This window comes from Homo sapiens, chromosome 3, assembly GCF_000001405.40.
Source record: "Homo sapiens chromosome 3, GRCh38.p14 Primary Assembly".
NCBI classification, from domain to species: Eukaryota; Metazoa; Chordata; class Mammalia; order Primates; family Hominidae; genus Homo; species Homo sapiens.
The window spans coordinates 41,813,155-41,830,559 of record NC_000003.12 but is presented as its reverse complement, the minus strand read 5'-3'; the positions used below and the strand labels follow the sequence as shown (position 1 = coordinate 41,830,559).

General features: G+C 39.8%; 1 protein-coding gene across 6 annotated transcripts in view; it reads left to right on the top strand.

Moving 5' to 3' along the window:
- The window catches only part of ULK4 (unc-51 like kinase 4), a 715,505-nt gene that overhangs the window by 131,544 nt on the left and 566,556 nt on the right, over window positions 1–17,405 (top strand). For 5 of the 6 annotated variants that reach the window (NR_136342.2, NM_001322501.2, NM_017886.4 and 2 more), the window contains one exon: window positions 11,054–11,137. The exons of the other annotated variant lie outside the window; for it this stretch is intronic. Coding sequence is in view for 4 of the 5 variants with exons in the window: in NM_001322501.2 (NP_001309430.1) it covers window positions 11,054–11,137 (84 nt within the window). In the remaining variant the exon portion in view is untranslated. The remainder of the gene's footprint in view (window positions 1–11,053; window positions 11,138–17,405) is intronic. 6 annotated transcript variants of the gene reach the window in all.

Genomic DNA, 17,405 nt, shown 5'->3' with positions numbered 1-17,405 from the left:
TCACAATTTGATAAATGTTCATTTATGTATACACCTATGAAACCATCACTACATACAGAAAATGAACCTATCACCTCCAAAAGTTTCCTTAGCACCCTTTTTAATCCCCTACTGTCTCCATACTACCACTGATTTGCTTTCTTTATATAGACTTGTTTTCGTTTTCTAGAATCTTATGCAGATAGAATCATACAGAATCATGTTCCTACTAGATCTAAAAGTAGATATAGAGAGTAATTTTCCTTGGTATATACCTTTTTTAAATTATACTTTAAGTTTTAGGGTACATGTGCATAACATGCAGGTTTGTTACATATGTATACATGTGTCATGTTGGTGTGCTGCACCCGTTAACTCGTCATTTAACATTAGGTATATCTGCTAATGCTATCCCTCCCCACTCCCCCTACCCCACAACAGTCCCCAGAGAGTGATGTTCCCCTTTCTGTGTCCATGTGTTCTCGTTGTTCAATTCCCACCTATGAGTGAGAACATGCGGTGTTTGGTTTTTTGTCCTTGCGATAGTTTGCTTAGAATGATGGTTTCCAGCTTCATCCATGTCCCTACAAAGGACATGAACTCATCATTTTTTATGGCTGCATAGTATTCCATGGTGTATATGTACCACATTTTCTTAATCCAGTCTATCATTGTTGGACATCTGGGTTGGTTCCAAGTCTTTGCTATTGTGAATAATGCCGCAATAAACATACGTGTGCATGTGTCTTTATAGCAGCATGATTTATAGTCCTTTGACTATATACCCAGTAATGGGATGGCTGGGTCAAATGGTATTTCTAGTTCTAGATCTCTGAGGAATCGCCACACTGACTTCCACAATGGTTGAACTAGTTTACAGTCCCACCAACACTGTAAAAGTGTTCCTATTTCTCCACATCCTCTCCAGCACCTGTTGTTTTCCTCACTTTTTAATGATTGCCATTCTAACTGGTGTGAGATGGTATCTCATTGTGGTTTTCATTTGCATTTCTCTGATGGCCAGTGATGATGAGCATTTTTTCATGTGTCTTTTGGCTGCATAAATGTCTTCTTTTGAGAAGAGTCTGTTCATATCCTTCACCCACTTGTTGATGGGGTTGTTTGTTTTTTTTTCTTGTAAATTTGAGTTCATTGTAGATTCTGGATATTAGCCCTTTGTCAGATGTGTGGATTGCAAAAATTTTCTCCCATTCTGTAGGTTGCCTGTTCACTCTGATGGTAGTTTCTTTTGCTGTGCAGAAGCTCTTTAGTTTAATTAGATCCCATTTGTCAATTTTGGCTTTTGTTGCCATTGCTTTTGGTGTTTTACACATGAAGTCCTTGCCCATGCCTATGTCCTGAATGGTATTGCCTAGGTTTTCTTCTAGGGTTTTTATGGTTTTAGGTCTAACATTTAAGTCTTTAATCCATCTTGAATTAATTTTTGTGTAAGGTGTAAGGAAGGGATCCAGTTTCAGCTTTCTACATATGGCTAGCCAGTTTTCCCAGCACCATTTATTAAATAGGGAATCCTTTCCCCATTGCTTGTTTTTGTCAGGTTTGTCAAAGATCAGATAGTTGTAGATATGTGGCATTATTTCTGAGGGCTCTGTTCTGTTCCATTGATCTATATCTCTGTTTTGGTACCAGTACCATGCTGTTTTGGTTACCGTAGCCTTGTAGTATAGTTTGAAGTCAGGTAGCGTGATGCCTCCAGCTTTGTTCTTTTGGCTTAGGATTGACTTGGCAATGTGGGCTCTTTTTTGGTTCCATATGAAATTTAAAGTAGTTTTTTCTAATTCTGTAAAGAAAGTCATTGGTAGCTTGATGGGGATGGCGTTGAATCTATAAATTATCTTGGGCAGTATGGCCATTTTCACGATACTGATTCTTCCTACCCATGAGCATGGAATGTTCTTCCATTTGTTTGTATCCTCTTTAATTTCATTGAGCATTGGTTTCTAGTTCTCCTTGAAGAGGTCCTTGACATCCCTTGTAAGTTGGATTCCTAGGTATTTTATTCTCTTTGAAGCAGTTGTGAATGGGAGTTCACTCATGATTTGGCTCTCTGTCTGTTATTGGTGTATAAGAATGCTTGTGATTTTTGTACATTGATTTTGTATCCTGAGACTTTGCTGAAGTTGCTTATCAGCTTAAGGAGATTTTGGGCTGAGACAATGGGGTTTTCTAGATATACAATCATGTCATCTGTAAACAGGGACAATTTGACTTCCTGTTTTCCTAATTGAATGCCCTTTATTTCCTTCTCCTGCCTGATTGCCCTGGCCAGAATTTCCAACACTATGTTGAATAGGAGTGGTGAGAGAGGGCATCCCTGTCTTGTGCCAGTTTTCAAAGGGAATGTTTCCAGTTTTTTTCCATTCAGTATGATATTGGCTGTGGGTTTGTCATAGATAGCTCTTATTATTTTGAGATAGGTCTCATCAGTACCTAATTTTTGAGAGTTTTTAGCATGAAGGGCTGTTGAATTTTGTCAAAGGCCTTTTCTGCATCTATTGAGATAATCATGTGGTTTTTGTCTTTGGTTCTGTTTATATGCTGGATTATGTTGATTGAGTTGTGTATGTTGAACCAGCGTTGCATCCCAGGGATGAAGCCCACTTGATCATGGTGGATAAGCTTTTTGATGTGCTGCTGGATTTGGTTTGCCCGTATTTTATTGGGGATTTTTGCATCAGTGTTCATCGGGGATATTGGTCTAAAATTCTCTTTTTTGGTTGTGTCTCTGCCAGGCTTTGGTATCAGGATGATGCTGGCCTCATAAAATGAGTTAGGGAGGATTCCCTCTTTTTCTATTGATTGGAATAGTTTCAGAAGGAATGGTACCAGCTCCTCCTTGTACCTCTGGTAGATTTTGGCTGTGAATCCATCTAGTCCTGAACTTTTTTTGGTTGGTAAGCTATTAATTATTGCCTCAATTTCAGATCCTGTTATTGGTCTATTCAGAGATTCAACTTCTTCCTGGTTTAGTCTTGGGAGGGTGTATATGTCGAGGAATTTATCCATTTATTCTAGATTTTCTAGTTTATTTGCATAGAGGTGTTTGTAGTATTCTCTGATGGTAGTTTGTATTTCTGTGGGATCGGTGGTGATATCCCCTTTGTCATTTTTTATTGCGTCTATTTGATTGTTGTCTGATAGTCTTGCTAGTGGTCTATCAATTTTGTTGATCTTTTCAAAAAACCAGCTCCTGGATTCACTGATTGTTTTGAAGGGTTTTTTGTGTCTCTGTCTCCTTCAGTTCTGCTCTGATCTTAGTTATTTCTTGCCTTCTGCTAGCTGTTGAATGTGTTTGCTCTTGCTTCTCTAGTTCTTTTAATTGTGATGTTAAGGTGTCAATTTTAGATCTTTCCTGCTTTCTCTTGTGGGCATTTAGTGCTATAAATTTCCCCCTACACACTGCTTTGAATGTGTCCCAGGTATTCTGGTATGTTGTGTCTTTGTTCTCGTTGGTTTCAAAGAACATCTTTATTTCTGCCTTTGTTTCGTTATGTACCCAGTAGTCATTCAGGAGCAGGTTGTTCAGTTTCCATGTAGTGGAGCGGTTTTCAGTGAGTTTCTTAATCCTGAGTTCTAGTTTGATTGCACTGTGGTCTGAGAGACAGTTTGTTGTAATTTCTGTTCTTTTACATTTGCTGAGGAGAGCTTTACTTCCAACTATGTGGTCACTTTTGGAATAGGTGTGTTGTGGTGCTGAAAAAAATGTATATTCTGTTGATTTGGGGTGGAGAGTTCTGTAGATGTCTATTAGGTCCGCTTGGTGCATAGCTGTGTTCAATTCCTGGATATCCTTGTTAACTTTCTGTCTCGTTGATCTGTCTAATGTTGACAGTGGGGTGTTAAAGTCTCCTATTATTATTGTGTGGGAGTCTAAGTCTCTTTGTAGGTCTCTAAGGACTTGCTTTATGAATCTGGGTGCTCCTGTATTGGGTGCATATGTATTTAGGATAGTTAGCTCTTCTTGTTGAATTGATCCCTTTACCAGTATATAATGGCCTTCTTTGTCTCTTTTGATCTTTGTTGGTTTAAAGTCTGTTTTATCAGAGACTAGGATTGCAACCCCTGCCTTTTTTTGTTTTCCATTTGCTTTGTAGATCTTCCTCCATCCCTTTATTTTGAGCTTATGTGTGTCTCTGCACATGAGATGGGTTTCCTGAATACAGCACCCTGATGGGTCTTGACTCTTGATCCAGTTTGCCAGTCTGTGTCTTCTAATTGGAGCATTTAGCCCATTTACATTTAAGGTTAATATTGTTATGTGTGAATTTGATCCTGTCATTATGATGTTAGCTGGTTATTTTGCTCGTTAGTTGATTCAGTTTCTTCCTAGCCTCCATCGTCTTTACAATTTGGCATGTTTTTGCAGTGGCTGGTACTGGTTGGTCTTTCCATGTTTAGTGCTTCCTTCAGGAGCTCTTGTAGGGCAGGCCTGGTGGTGTCAAAATCTGTCAAAATTTGTTTGTCTGTAAAGTATTTTATTTCTCCTTCACTTACGAAGCTTAGTTTGGCTGGATATGAAATTCTGGGTTGAAAATTCTTTTCTTTAAGAATGTTGAATATTGGTCCCCACTCTCTTCTGGCTTGTAGAGTTTTTGCGAAGAGATCCGCTGTTAGTCTGATGGGCTTCCCTTTGTGGGTAACCCGACCTTTCTCTCTGGCTGCCCTTAACATTTTGTTCTTCATTTCAACTTTCATGAATCTGACAATTATGTGTCTTGGAGTTGCTCTTCTTGAGAAGCATTTTTGTGGCGTTCTCTGTATTTCCTGAATTTGAATGTTGGCCTGCCTTGCTAGATTGGGGAAATTCTCCTGGATAATATCCTGCAGAGTGTTTTCCAGCTTGGTTCCATTCTCCCTGTCACTTTCAGGTACACCAATCAGACGTAGATTTGGCCTTTTCACATAGTCCCGTATTTCTTGGAGGCTTTTTTCATTTCTTTTTATTTTTTGTTTAAACTTCTCTTCTTGCTTCATTTCATTCATTTGATCTTCCATCACTGATACCCTTTCTTCCAGTTGATCGAATTGGCTACCGAGGCTTGCGCCTTTGTCACGTAGTTCTTGTGCCATGGTTTTCAGCTCCATCAGGTCCTTTAAGGACTTCTCTGCATTGGTTATTCTGGTTAGCCATTTGTCTAATTTTTTTTCAAGGTTTTTAACTTCTTTGCCATAGGTTCGAACTTCCTCATTTAGCTTAGAGTAGTTTGATCATCTGAAGCCTTCTTCTCTCAACTCGTCAAAGGCATTCTCCATCCAGCTTTGTTCCGTTGCTGGTGAGGAGCTGCATTCCTTTGGAGGAGGAGAGGTGCTCTGATTTTTAGAGTTTCCAGTTTTTCTGCTCTGTTTTTTCCATCTTTGTGGTTTTATCTACCTTTGGTCTTTGATGATGGTGATGTACAGATGGGGTTTTGGTGTGGATGTCCCTTCTGTTTGTTAGTTTTCCTTCTAACAGACAGGACCCTCAGCTGCAGGTCTGTTGGAGTTTGCTGGAGGTCCACTCCAGACCCTGTTCACCTGGGTATCAGCAGCGGAGGCTGCAGAACAGCGGATATTGGTGAACAGCAAATGTTGCTGCCCGATTGTTCCTCTGGAAGTTTTGTCTCAGAGGAGTACCCAGCCCTGTGAGGTGTCAGTCTGCCCCTACTGGGGGTGCCTCCCAGTTAGTCTATTCGGGGGTCAGGGACCCACTTGAGGAGGCAGTCTGTCCGTTCTCAGATCTCCAGCTGTGTGCTGGGAGAACCACTACTCTCTTCAAAGCTGGCAGACAGGGACATTTAAGTCTGTAGAGGTTTCTCCTGCCTTTTGTTTGGCTATGCCCTGCCCCCAGAGGTGGAGTCTACAGAGGCAGGCAGGCCTCCTTGAACTGCGGTGGGCTCCACCCAGTTCGAGCTTCCTGGCTGCTTTGTTTACCTACTCAAGCCTCGGCAATGGTAGGCACCCCTCCCCCAGCATCGCTGCTGCCTTGCAGTTTGATCTCAGACTGCTGTGCTAGCAATGAGCGAGGCTTCATGGGCGTAGGACCCTCCGAGCCAGGCGTGGGATATAATCTCCTGGTGTGCTGTTTGCTAAGACCATTGGAAAAGTGCAGTATTAGGGTGCGAGTGACCCGATTTTCCAGGTGCCGTCTGTCACCCCTTTCTTTGACTAGGGAAGGGAATTCACTGACCCCTTGCGCTTCCCCGGTGAGGCAATGCCTCACCCTGCTTTGTCTTATGCTCGGTGTGCTGCACCCACTGTCCTGCACCCACTGTCCGACACTCCCCAGTGAGATGAACCTGGTACCTCAGTTGGAAATGCAGAAATCACCCATCGTCTGCATCGCTCATGCTGGGAGCTGTAGACTGGAGCTGTTCCTATTTGGCTATCTTGGCTCCTCCTTTTTTTTTTTTTTTTTTTAAAGATAGAGTCTCATTCTCTCACCCAGGCTGGAATGCAGTGACATAATCTTGGCTCACTGCAACCCCCACCTCCTGGATTCAAGCAATTCTCCTGTTTCAGCCTCCTGAGTAGCTTGGACTTCAAGTGTACACCACCACACCTGGCTAATTTTTGTATTTTTAGTAGAAATGGTGTTTCGCCACATTGGCCAGACTGGTCTTGAACTCCTGACCTCAAGTGATCTGCCTGCCTCAGTCTTCCAAAGTATTGAGATTATAGGCGTGAGCCACCATGCCCAGCCCTTGGTATATACTTTAACTGAATACAAGCTAGGCTATTTGAATAAAGGGATGATAATGTGGCCATGACATTTAACTACATCTCGTGATAGCAAACTGGAAAAGGAAGTTAAGTCCCTGAGTCTACAAAAATAAATAACTTTTCAGGACATGAGGGCTTTGTGGAATTGTCAGTTTGAGTACAATAAACATTAAAATCTCAGGTCAGTGCTAACCTGTTGGTACTGAGCTGAAGTGATTATATATAGTATACATAATACAACAACCTGAGTCTTGTTGGCTCTCTAGTAACACCCTAAGGTTTCAGGCTTACAGACAGAAGACCAGAGTGTGATTCTGCAGAGGGTATTATAAGGCAACACATTTTCAGTTTTTGTGTTTTTCTTGATTTTGTCAAGGATACCTATCACCCTGAGTTCAGGTATTCTTATTTTGTCTTTTTTGTTTTATCCCATAATTTCTTTCTTCATTGTCACAGCCAAAGTCTCTGTAATTACCTTCTGGGCCCTTTTGGGCTGGCTCTTCAGAACCTGTCTGACCTAATTCCTCACTATCTTCCTACTCACTCCTTCCAGCTATACTGACCTCCCCACAGTTCCTTAAACCCACTATGCCATGCTTCTGCCTCACTATATTGACATTTGCTGTTTCTCCTGCTTCTAATATTTTCTTCTGAGTTGTTTGTATTTTCTGTGTGCTCAAAAATCCCTTCAGAAAGCCTTTCCCTGTCTCTGAGTGATCTGAGATGGAGCCAGCCTGTCTACAGTCTTTCTGCAACCTCTTACTCTGCTGTTTTTCTTTATAGCACTCATCATTATCTTGACTGACTTACTTTGTTTACTTCTTTAAAAAAAAAATCTCGGCCGGGCGTGGTGGCTCATGCCTATAATCCCAGCACTTTGGGAGGCTGAGGCAGGTGGATCATGAGGTCAAGAGATCGAGACCATCCTGGCTAACATGGTGAAAACCGGTCTCTTCTAAAAATACAAAAAAATTAGCCGGGTGTGGTGGTGGGCGCCTGTAGTCCCAGCTACTTGGGAGGCTGAGGCAGGAGAATGGCGTGAACCTGGGAGGCGGAGCTTGCAGTGAGCCAAGATGTTGCCACTGCACTCCAGCCTGGGTGACAGAGCGAGACTGTCTCAAAAAAAAAAAAAAAAAAATCTCAGCCCGGCATGGTGGCTTATGCTTGTAATCCCAGCACTTTGGGAGGCTGAGGCGGGTGGATCACCTGAGCTCAGGAGTTTGAGACGAGCCTGGCCAACATGGCGAAATGCTGTCTCTACTAAAACTACAAAAAATTAGCCGGGTGTGGTGGCTCAGGCCTGTAATCCCAGCTACTTGGGAGGTTGAGGCAGGAAAATTACTTGAACTTAGGAGGTGGTGGTTGCAGTGAGCTGAGATCATGCCACTGCACTCCAGCCTGGGCAACAAGAGCGAAACTTGGTATCAAAAACAAAACGAAACGAACGACAAAAAACAAGAAAAACAAAATGAAACAAAAAAAATCTCAGTCTTCCACTAAGCACTATTAAGGAAGAAAATGTATTTGCCTCATTATGGATTACGGCCGTTATTAAGAAGAGTTTCTGGTGCACCGTAGGTGCTTTTTTCATGCATGAACTGCACCAAGGCCAGTGGGACAGGAGAGAAGTGAGGAAGGAGGCAGGGTTGGAGAGACTGGCAGGGACATGATCATGAAGGGCTCCTCACCAGTCCGATGTCTTGGTCTTGATCCGAAGAGCAAGGGGAACTCATTAAAGAGTTTTAAGAGGGTAATTATGTCAGCTGATTTGCATGCCAAAAAGATAATTCTGGTTTAAATGTGGAGAGTAGAGTGGAGACTGAAAACAGGATTCTGAGAGCCTGGATGAGAGTAAGCAACGCAGGAGCAAAATTAGGAGAGAGAAGTGGGTATTTCAGGAAAGGGAAAGTCAGTAGGGCTGAATGTAGTTTAAGGCCCAATTTAAAGGACTAAGAGGGATCTGTTGGATTTAATGACATGAAAGTCACTGGTAACTCAGCAAGAGCTTTTTATATATTTATTTATTTTTCCTGTTATGAGGGAGATAGAAGTCGTCATATTGGAGTGGGCGAGGAGTTAGTGGAAGGTGAGGAAACTGAGAAAGTCAGTGTAAAGTGAGGATAGTTGTGAAAAGGGGCCAAGGGATGAGGAGGGTCTTGTTTTCAAAATGAGATACCGTGACCCTATTCAGGTGGAAACAGGAAAGACCCAGAGGGGATAAGATGTTGAAAATTTAGGAGCAATAAGGGATAGTCCATTAGCTAATGACCCTGAAGAAGGGAGGATGGGGATGGGATCCTGAGCCCAAGTGGAGGGACAGGAATGGAGGAACCTGTCCTGTTATAACCATTGGGCAGAAGTAGCAGATGGCTTTATGTGGAGGAAAGTTTGTCTTTCCTTTCTCAGAACTTCCATTCTCTTTATCTGTGAAGGAGGAGAGTAGGTGAAGTGGTGGGAGCGTCATAGCTTTAAAATAGCCTTTTCAGGGAGGGTGGTGATAAGAGAAATAGTAGGTCTGGAGATGGATGTTGAAGGTCCCCTGAGGATGCTGATCCCAAGTAAGTAATGGACTCTGTGCTCTCTGGTGCCACCTTCTCTAAGGGCCCAGTTGTCTGAGAGCAGACTTAGAGAAAACAAGCAGCTGGCTTTCTCAGAGGTTGAGGTTTCCCAAACAAGAGTAAAGGGACAACTAAAGAGACTGATAGTTTAGGTTTTGGGCAGGAGTGATTAAATGATGGGTACGGGATTCTAAGTGGCTGGGAGTGAAGTAGGTGATCTGTTGAGGGAAAGAAGGGCCAAGGGAGAGGGCACAGAGTCCACTGATGTTAAGGGTTGTGGTGGGCATTTTAAATAAGGGAAGAATAAGGGAAGGAAAGAAAGTTGTGTTTGCAAGTTAAATTTAGTGTGAATTAGTGATTTTTGAGTTGGAGCAGCTCCTGATCATAATGTCCAGGGTATAACCATATGTGGAATTCTATAATCAAGTAAGGGAATGGTTTTAATGGGTCATGATTCTTCTCATGGGTGTAAAATACTTTTGGATTAGTAATGTACTAATTCTTTTTTTAAAATTTCAACTTTATTTTAGATTCAGGGTGTACATGTGTAGGTTTGTTACATGAATAGATTGGATGATGCTGCGGTTTGGGGTACAACTGATCCTACCTCCCAGGTAGTGAACATAGTAGTCAATATGCAGTTTTTCAGCCCTTACTCCTGTCCCACCCTCCCCACTTGTTGTAGTCTCTAGTGTCTTTTGTTCCTATCTTCTGTCTGTGTGTATTCATGTTTAGTTCTCACAAGTGAGAACACGTGGTATTTGATTTTCTGTTCTTGCTTCAATTTGCTTAGGATAATGGCCTCCAGCTGCATCCGTGTTGCTGCAGTAGTATTTCGTGGTGGATATATACTACATTTTCTTTATCCACTTCACTGTTGATGGGCACCTAAGTTGATTCCATGTTTTTGCTCTTGTGAATAGTGCTACGATGAATATATGAGTGTGTGTGTGTTTTTGGTAGAATGATGTATTTTCCTTTGGGTATATAACCAGTAATGGGATTGCTGGTTCAAATGGTAGTTCTGTTTTTAGTTCTTTGAGATATCTCCAAACTATTTTTCATAGTAGCTGAAGTAAATTAATAATGTACTAATTCTGTCATTTGGACAATCTTGAGTATGTTCCGTAAGTAGAACCTAATTTTTTCTGCTTTAAAAAATTAGTTTTTTTCATCTTTCTGTGTGGTACCTGATTTATTTTCTGATTGTATTTGATAGGTTGCAGGAGTGTGCTTGTGGTTATTACACTAATTTGGTTAATCTTCTGGGAGAGAATTATTGCTCATGTCATTAAAATCAGTGTACCCGCTTATTTGCTCATTTTATTTAGTTCCTTGTCTTACTAGGTAACATAATACCTTTTACTTGTGCTTGTGAATTATCCTGAGATATTACTCAAACTTGTGTTTTCTATGCTTTCAAATCATTCCAGATAATGTAATACTTTTCAGATAGTTGTATCTGTATTATCATCTACAATTATCATTAGATTGATTTATCTGTCAGATCATATTGGATCATATTGTCATTTCTCAATATTTTAAATCTACCTTCTAATGAGGGGATCTTACCCACATCATATATAATGCAATGAGAAATAGAATAAATATCTTGTATGTACAATGCAGTAAAAGATCCTTGATCTAGTCGTTATCATCAGATAGTAAGTAATACTTTAAATAGACTATTAAGTTTTAGATAGTTTGTATACTTGGAGCTGTGCCATTTGCTTGAATGGGTTAATATCTTTCGTGCTGTTAGCTTCACTGCCTTTTTTTTTCCCACTTCATTTTAGGAAGAAAAAAAAAAGAACCCTAGAGAGTGCTGGGCTGTTCCCTTGGCTGCATACACAGTGCTAATGAGGTGCCTTCGGGAAGGGGTAAGGCTCCTTTGTTGTCCTCTGTAGATGCTGGCAATTGTAATAACCCTTCAGGCACTGTATGAGGATTGTAGCCTGCAGCAGTGCAGGAGCTTGTCAACCAAGTATTGCTCCTGAATTTAAATAATCCCGACAACCTACCATGAGCAAGTGACCTACAGTGGAGCAAGTGTAAAAATGATCTAGCTTTCTCATTCACTTGTTTAAATGTCTTGCTTTTTAAAGGAATGATAGCTTATATAAACAATGTAACTAACATTCAATAGCATATTCTTAATTACCCTCCGCACTCCCCCTTTAAAATTATTGATACACTAGTTTAGTAAGCAAGGTGTATGCAGCGAATTTTCTGTGAGCCTGAGACAACCCATGATTATCTTGTCAGATTGCCATTTTGAGGTTTAGAGACAGGGAAGCTTCTAGTATCCATTGCTTTTAATATTAAGTAGTATTTATTACGTGATGTGATTTTTCAGTTTATTCACATCATTTCTTAAGCAATTGTTAATGGCTGAAAGCCAGCCAGCTGGCCAACCAACCAGCTCATCTATATGTAGCTCCCACGTGTAACTATGTAAAGGATTTAGAAACCAACCTAAAAGGTTGGCATTTTCCATTTGCGTTAAATCATTTGACATTGTTTCACCCAAGGCAAAGCCATAGGGTGAAAACATTCCTTCAGGAATGAGAAAGATATATCAGGATAAACATCTTTCTTTTGAGTTCATTGCTTCCTACTTTATATGGTAACAGAATCATGTTCCAAGTGTAGAAAAACTCCCTGAGGTTTTCCCCTGTGATCCAGAAGAAAAGTTTGAACTCTTCCCAGCCTGTAGGTTTGAATACCTAGTCATTTGTCATTATGGGATATGATGTATATTATCAATTGTACTTTGTCAATAATATGAGAATTAAGTCATTCTCAGCTATCATCAAAAGACGTGTTTGGGTTTAACATTCAGAGCTTCAAGCTAGGTGCACTTAGAGGCACACAGATGAAAAAATTCCTATTCACACACAGACCTCACCTATTGTGGGAGTGAAAATAAAAATATAAAGTGGAATGTGTCAAACACATAAATGCAAAAGAACAAAATATAGGAACTCAAGGGAGAGAGAAGGCTTTTAGGGATCCTGTTGACAGTGTAAAAGTCATTATTGTGAATAGTGCTGTGATAAAGATGGGAATACAGGAGTGCAGTTGTCTCTTTGATATACTGGTTTTCTTTCTTTAGCATATATACCCAGCAGTGGGACTGCTGGATCATATGGTAGCTCTATTTTTAGTTAGTTTTTTTTTTTTTTTTTTGAGGAAACTCCTTACTGTTTTCTATAATGGCTTTACTAATTTACATTCCCACCAACGGTATGGAAGAGTTGTCCTTTCTTCACATCCTTGCCATCATCTGTTGTCTTTTTGATAATCGCCATTTTAATTGGGGTGAGATGGTATCTTATTGCGGTTTTGATTTGCATTTCCCTGATGATTAGTGTTGTTGGGTCTTTGGTCATGTACCTGCTAGCAATTTTTATGTCTTCTTTTGAGAAATGTCTATTCAGATCTTTTGTCCATTTTCAAATTGGGTTATTTGGTTTTTTTGCTCTTGAGTTGAAGTCCTTATATATTCTGGTTATTTCTTAAAATTTCAACTTTTATTTTAGATTTAGGGGGTACATGTGCAGGTTTGTTACATGGGTATATGCTGTGGTTTGGGGTTATGACTGATCCTGTCACCCAGGTAGTGAGCATAGTATCCAGTAGGTAGTTTTTCAGCCCTTATTCCCTGTCCACCTTCTCCCCTCTAGAAGTCTCCAGTGTCTGTTGTTTCCTTCTTTCTGTCCATGTGTACCCAATGTTAGTTCTCACTTATAAGTGAGAACACATGGTATTTGGTTTTCTGTACCTGCTTTAATTTGTTTAGGATAATGGCTTCCAGCTGCATCCATGTTGTTGCAAAGAACATGATTTTATAATTTTTTATGGCTGCATAGTTCTTTTATGATGTATATGTACTACATTTTCTTTGTCCACATATTCCGGTTGTTAATCTCTTAGCTAAGATATGGAATCAACCTAGGTGTCCATCAGTGGATGAATGAATACAGAAAATGTGGCATATATATACCATGAAATATTATTTAGCTAAACAGTGAATTGATCAGTTCTTAATGCTGAACTCTATGTAAATGGAATGGCGCCACATTCTTTTGAGACTTAATTCTTTTGCTTTTAAAGCTAGATTAGTTTACATGCTGATTGTGTAAACTATAGTTCATTTGGACCACTGTGTAGGGTGTTGTTGAAATATGCCTCATTGCACATGCGTGAGTACACACACACACACACACACACACAGTTTCCCCACATCACTGAGTGAAAGTGTGTCTTCTCTCCCCTGCTCTGCAGTGTCACCTCTGTCACATCAGTTGACATGTCTCTTTTTGGGCTCTATTTGGTTCTGTTGGTCTACTTATTTCTGGGCTCTGTGTGTGCGCATGTGTGTGTATCAATTTATACTCCCACCAGCAGGGTATGGAAGTACTTATTAACCCATATCTTCGCAAACATTTGACATAGGCAAACTTAAAATTTTTGTCAATCTGGTGGGCATTAAAGTGGTTTATTTTTTATTTTTTGAGAGAGGATTTCACTCTGTCATCCTGGCTCCCTGCAACCTCCGCCTCTGGGATCAAGTGATCCTCCTGCCTCAGCCTCCCAAGTAGCTGGGACTACACATGCATACTACTATGCCTGGCTAATTTTTGTATTTGTAGAGACAGAGTTTCACCATGTCGCCCAGGCTAGTCTTGAACTCATAGGCTCTAGGAATCCACCTCCCTCGGCCTCCCAGAGTTGGGATTACAGGCGCCAGCCACTGCACCCAGCCATGGTTTCTTATAGTAGTTTTAACATGTATTTCTCTGATTACTAATGAGGATGACCATCTTTTTCTATTTACCTCGTGTTTTGGGCTTCCTGTTTTGAAAAGTGCTTGTGAAGTCTTAAACTTGTTTTTTTCCTATTGCTTCGTAGGAACTCTGAATCCTCTACAACCTATTATTATAAAATGTTTCAAAGATTAGAAAAGAAAAGAAAGCTGTAATAATCACCTTTGTTTCCATCACCTAGATTAAACAGTAAACATTTTGTCCTGTTTGCTTTGCTGTAATATGTGTGTGTGTGAGTATGTGTGTATTCATGTGCATGTGCATTTATTCATTTTCTTTACAGTGTCTATTGATAGGCAGGAGTTCTTAATTTTAATGTAGCCACTTTATATATAATATATAATATGTATATATAAGACTCTGTGTGTGTGTGTCTGTATGTGTGTATACACATACAATCTTGCTATGTTGCCCAGGCTGGTCTTGAACTCCTGGGCTCAAGCAATCCTTCTGTCTCAGCCTCCCAAGTAGCTGGGATTGTAGTTATGCATGCCACCATGCTCTGTGTAGCTCAGTTTATCTATTCCTTTATGATTTGTGCTTTTTGTATCTTATGAAATGCTTCTCTCCTCCAACATCACTAAGAGAGTCTATTACATTTTGTTCTGAAAGTCTTATTTTTTCTTTTCCCATTTAGAGTTTTAATCTATTTGTAATTATCTTTGGTGTGTGGTGCTATGTGTAGGTCCAGTTGGTTTTTAAAAATAAAAATAGTCAAGTGAAGAATCCCTTATCCAGACCCAATTTAAGGTAGGAGCCCCCAGTGCCTACAACTAAGTATAAAAGATGTGAACAATAACTTCCCCCATCTCCCTGCTACCCCACTGATCTGAGGAGGGCATTGAGGACGTATTTGCAGCTGGGAGTGCAGGTTGCAGGAGGGAAATCCCACAAGAAGCTAAAAGCATAAGCAGGTCCTCACTTGATTTACAGAGTATTGCCTTCAAGAAGCACAGTTGCTCTGACAGCTAATTTCTTAGCAGCAACAACTGTAGTAAAAAAAAGTGAAATCGTATATTTCATTGTTAATAAAGTATTGTCAATTCACAAATGTATTCACATAAAATATGTATTTCAAGAGCAATAGAATAACCATGAATATGAAAGGAATTAGGAAAAAAAGAAACAAAAAAGACACGAAGAAATACAAAACAGATGGAACAAATAGCACAAAATATGATGAAAGTTATAAATGAAACTGTGCCAACAATCATAATAAATGTAAATGGACTGAATAGTTAAGAGAAAATGACTATAAAACAGAATTAGGGTAGGCATGTGGCTCACGCCTGTAATCCCAGCACTTTGGGAGGCCAAGGCAGGCGGATCATGAGGTCAGGAGTTCAAGAACAGTCTGATGAAAATGGTGAAACCATGTCTCTGCTAAAAATACAAAAATTAGTCGGGCGTGGTGGTGCATGCCTGTAATTCCAGCTACTCGGGAGGCTGAGGCAGGAGAATCGCTTGAACCTGGGAGGCAGAGGTTGCAGTGAGTTGAGATCACACCACTACACTCCAGCCTGGGCAACAGAACAAGACTCCATCTCAAAAAAAAAAAAAAAAAAGGACAGAATTAGAAAATAAACAGTATGAAAAGACATCTAAAACATAAAGTTATAGAAAGACTGAAAGAGAATGAAAAAAGATACACGTCATATGTACCTAATCCAAAGAAGTGTGGTTAGCTATATTATTATCAGATAAAATAGGCTTTGGGCAAAAAGCAATATGGGAGATTTTTAAGGTCACAATATGATGATGAAAATTATAATAAACCAAGGGAAAAGGCAATCTAAAATTTTAATGTATCTAATAACTAGCAGTCAAAATACATGAAAGCAAAATATGACAAAATTGCAACCCTAAGAGGGCAATTTAAACACATATCTCAGTATCTGATAAAACAGACAAAAACAATCAGCATAGACCTAGAAGATCTATATCTGCCTAGAAAATTAACAAGCTTGACCTAATGTGTAGAAAAAACATCTCTCCAAAGTGACAGAACTCACCACCCGCCCAAGTATATACGTACTGAGCCATAAGGAAAATCTCAACAAATTCCAAAGAAGTGGAATCATGCATACATCTTTCTCTCTAACCATAATCTCATTAAACTAAAAACAATAATAAAAAGTAAAAGGCCAGAAAGGCAGATACTAAATGAGAAAGCGACAGAAAAGTTATAGATTTTGTTAAGCATACAAAGCTTGTATGGTGTAAAGCAGTCAAAGGGATATGAAAATTTACACAGAAATCCAACCAATATAAATCCTTGAAAGATACTACATACAGATATTTCATCAGTTCTCACATGTCAAACCCAGCAAAGCCAAACTTTGGAGCCTCCCCTGCGAGCAGACCTGCCACAGGAGGACAGCCAGCACAAACCTCCCGTTTGCAGTGAAAATGCTACATTGTGTGTGCTGCTTACCCCATCACCTCTTTGGCAGCGGTCTACCCCACTCAGCGCTGGCTGAGAATCACTTCCCTCATACCACTCTCAATAGTTCACTCCAAGACACACTGGGCAACTCTGTACCTGGTAAGCCATTGTGAATCCAACTAATAATGGCATTCAGAAAGTTAGGAATCTTTGAAGTATTAGATTCATAGTGAGATTCAAAAGAAAGAAAACAACATCGTTTCTGTTCCACACACGTTGCCCACCTTCACTGCATGAAAGGCAAGGGGAATTGTGAGTACCCACAAAGAACCTGATATTGATGGCACATACATTTCTTCACTAGAAATTTAGACTGTAGGATAAATTTAGACTGTAACAATTTAAAAAACCAGAAAATATAACTGTACATTTTAGCTCTTATTAAAATCCAAGAGATTTAACTTACTTGCTCCTTGTTTAGGTAATTAGTGTCTAAAACATTTCAAAGATAACATATATAATGGCTAGCATTTCTAGTACTTTTAAAAAATTCAAGCCCAGTCTCTTCTAATTAAATGTATAAATTATTTGTCACTGGCTTTCTCAAAAAGAAGAACAAAGAGCCCTAATTAAAAAGTAAAAATTAAATTTCCTCTTAGAAAATTGTTACATCAGAATTATCTAATAAACTATAGTTCAGAAAATAATTTTGGAATTAAGAAAATATGAATAATAAAACCAATAGTTTATGTTCTGAATTTCAAATTTTTATTTTTTATTATTTTTTAAATTTTAAGTTCTAGGGTATGTGTGCAGGATTGTTACATAGGTAAACGTGTGCCATGGTGGTTTGGTACACCTATCAACCCATCACCTAAGTATTAAACCCAGCATGCATTAGCTGTTTTTTCTGATGCTCCTCCCCCACCTGCC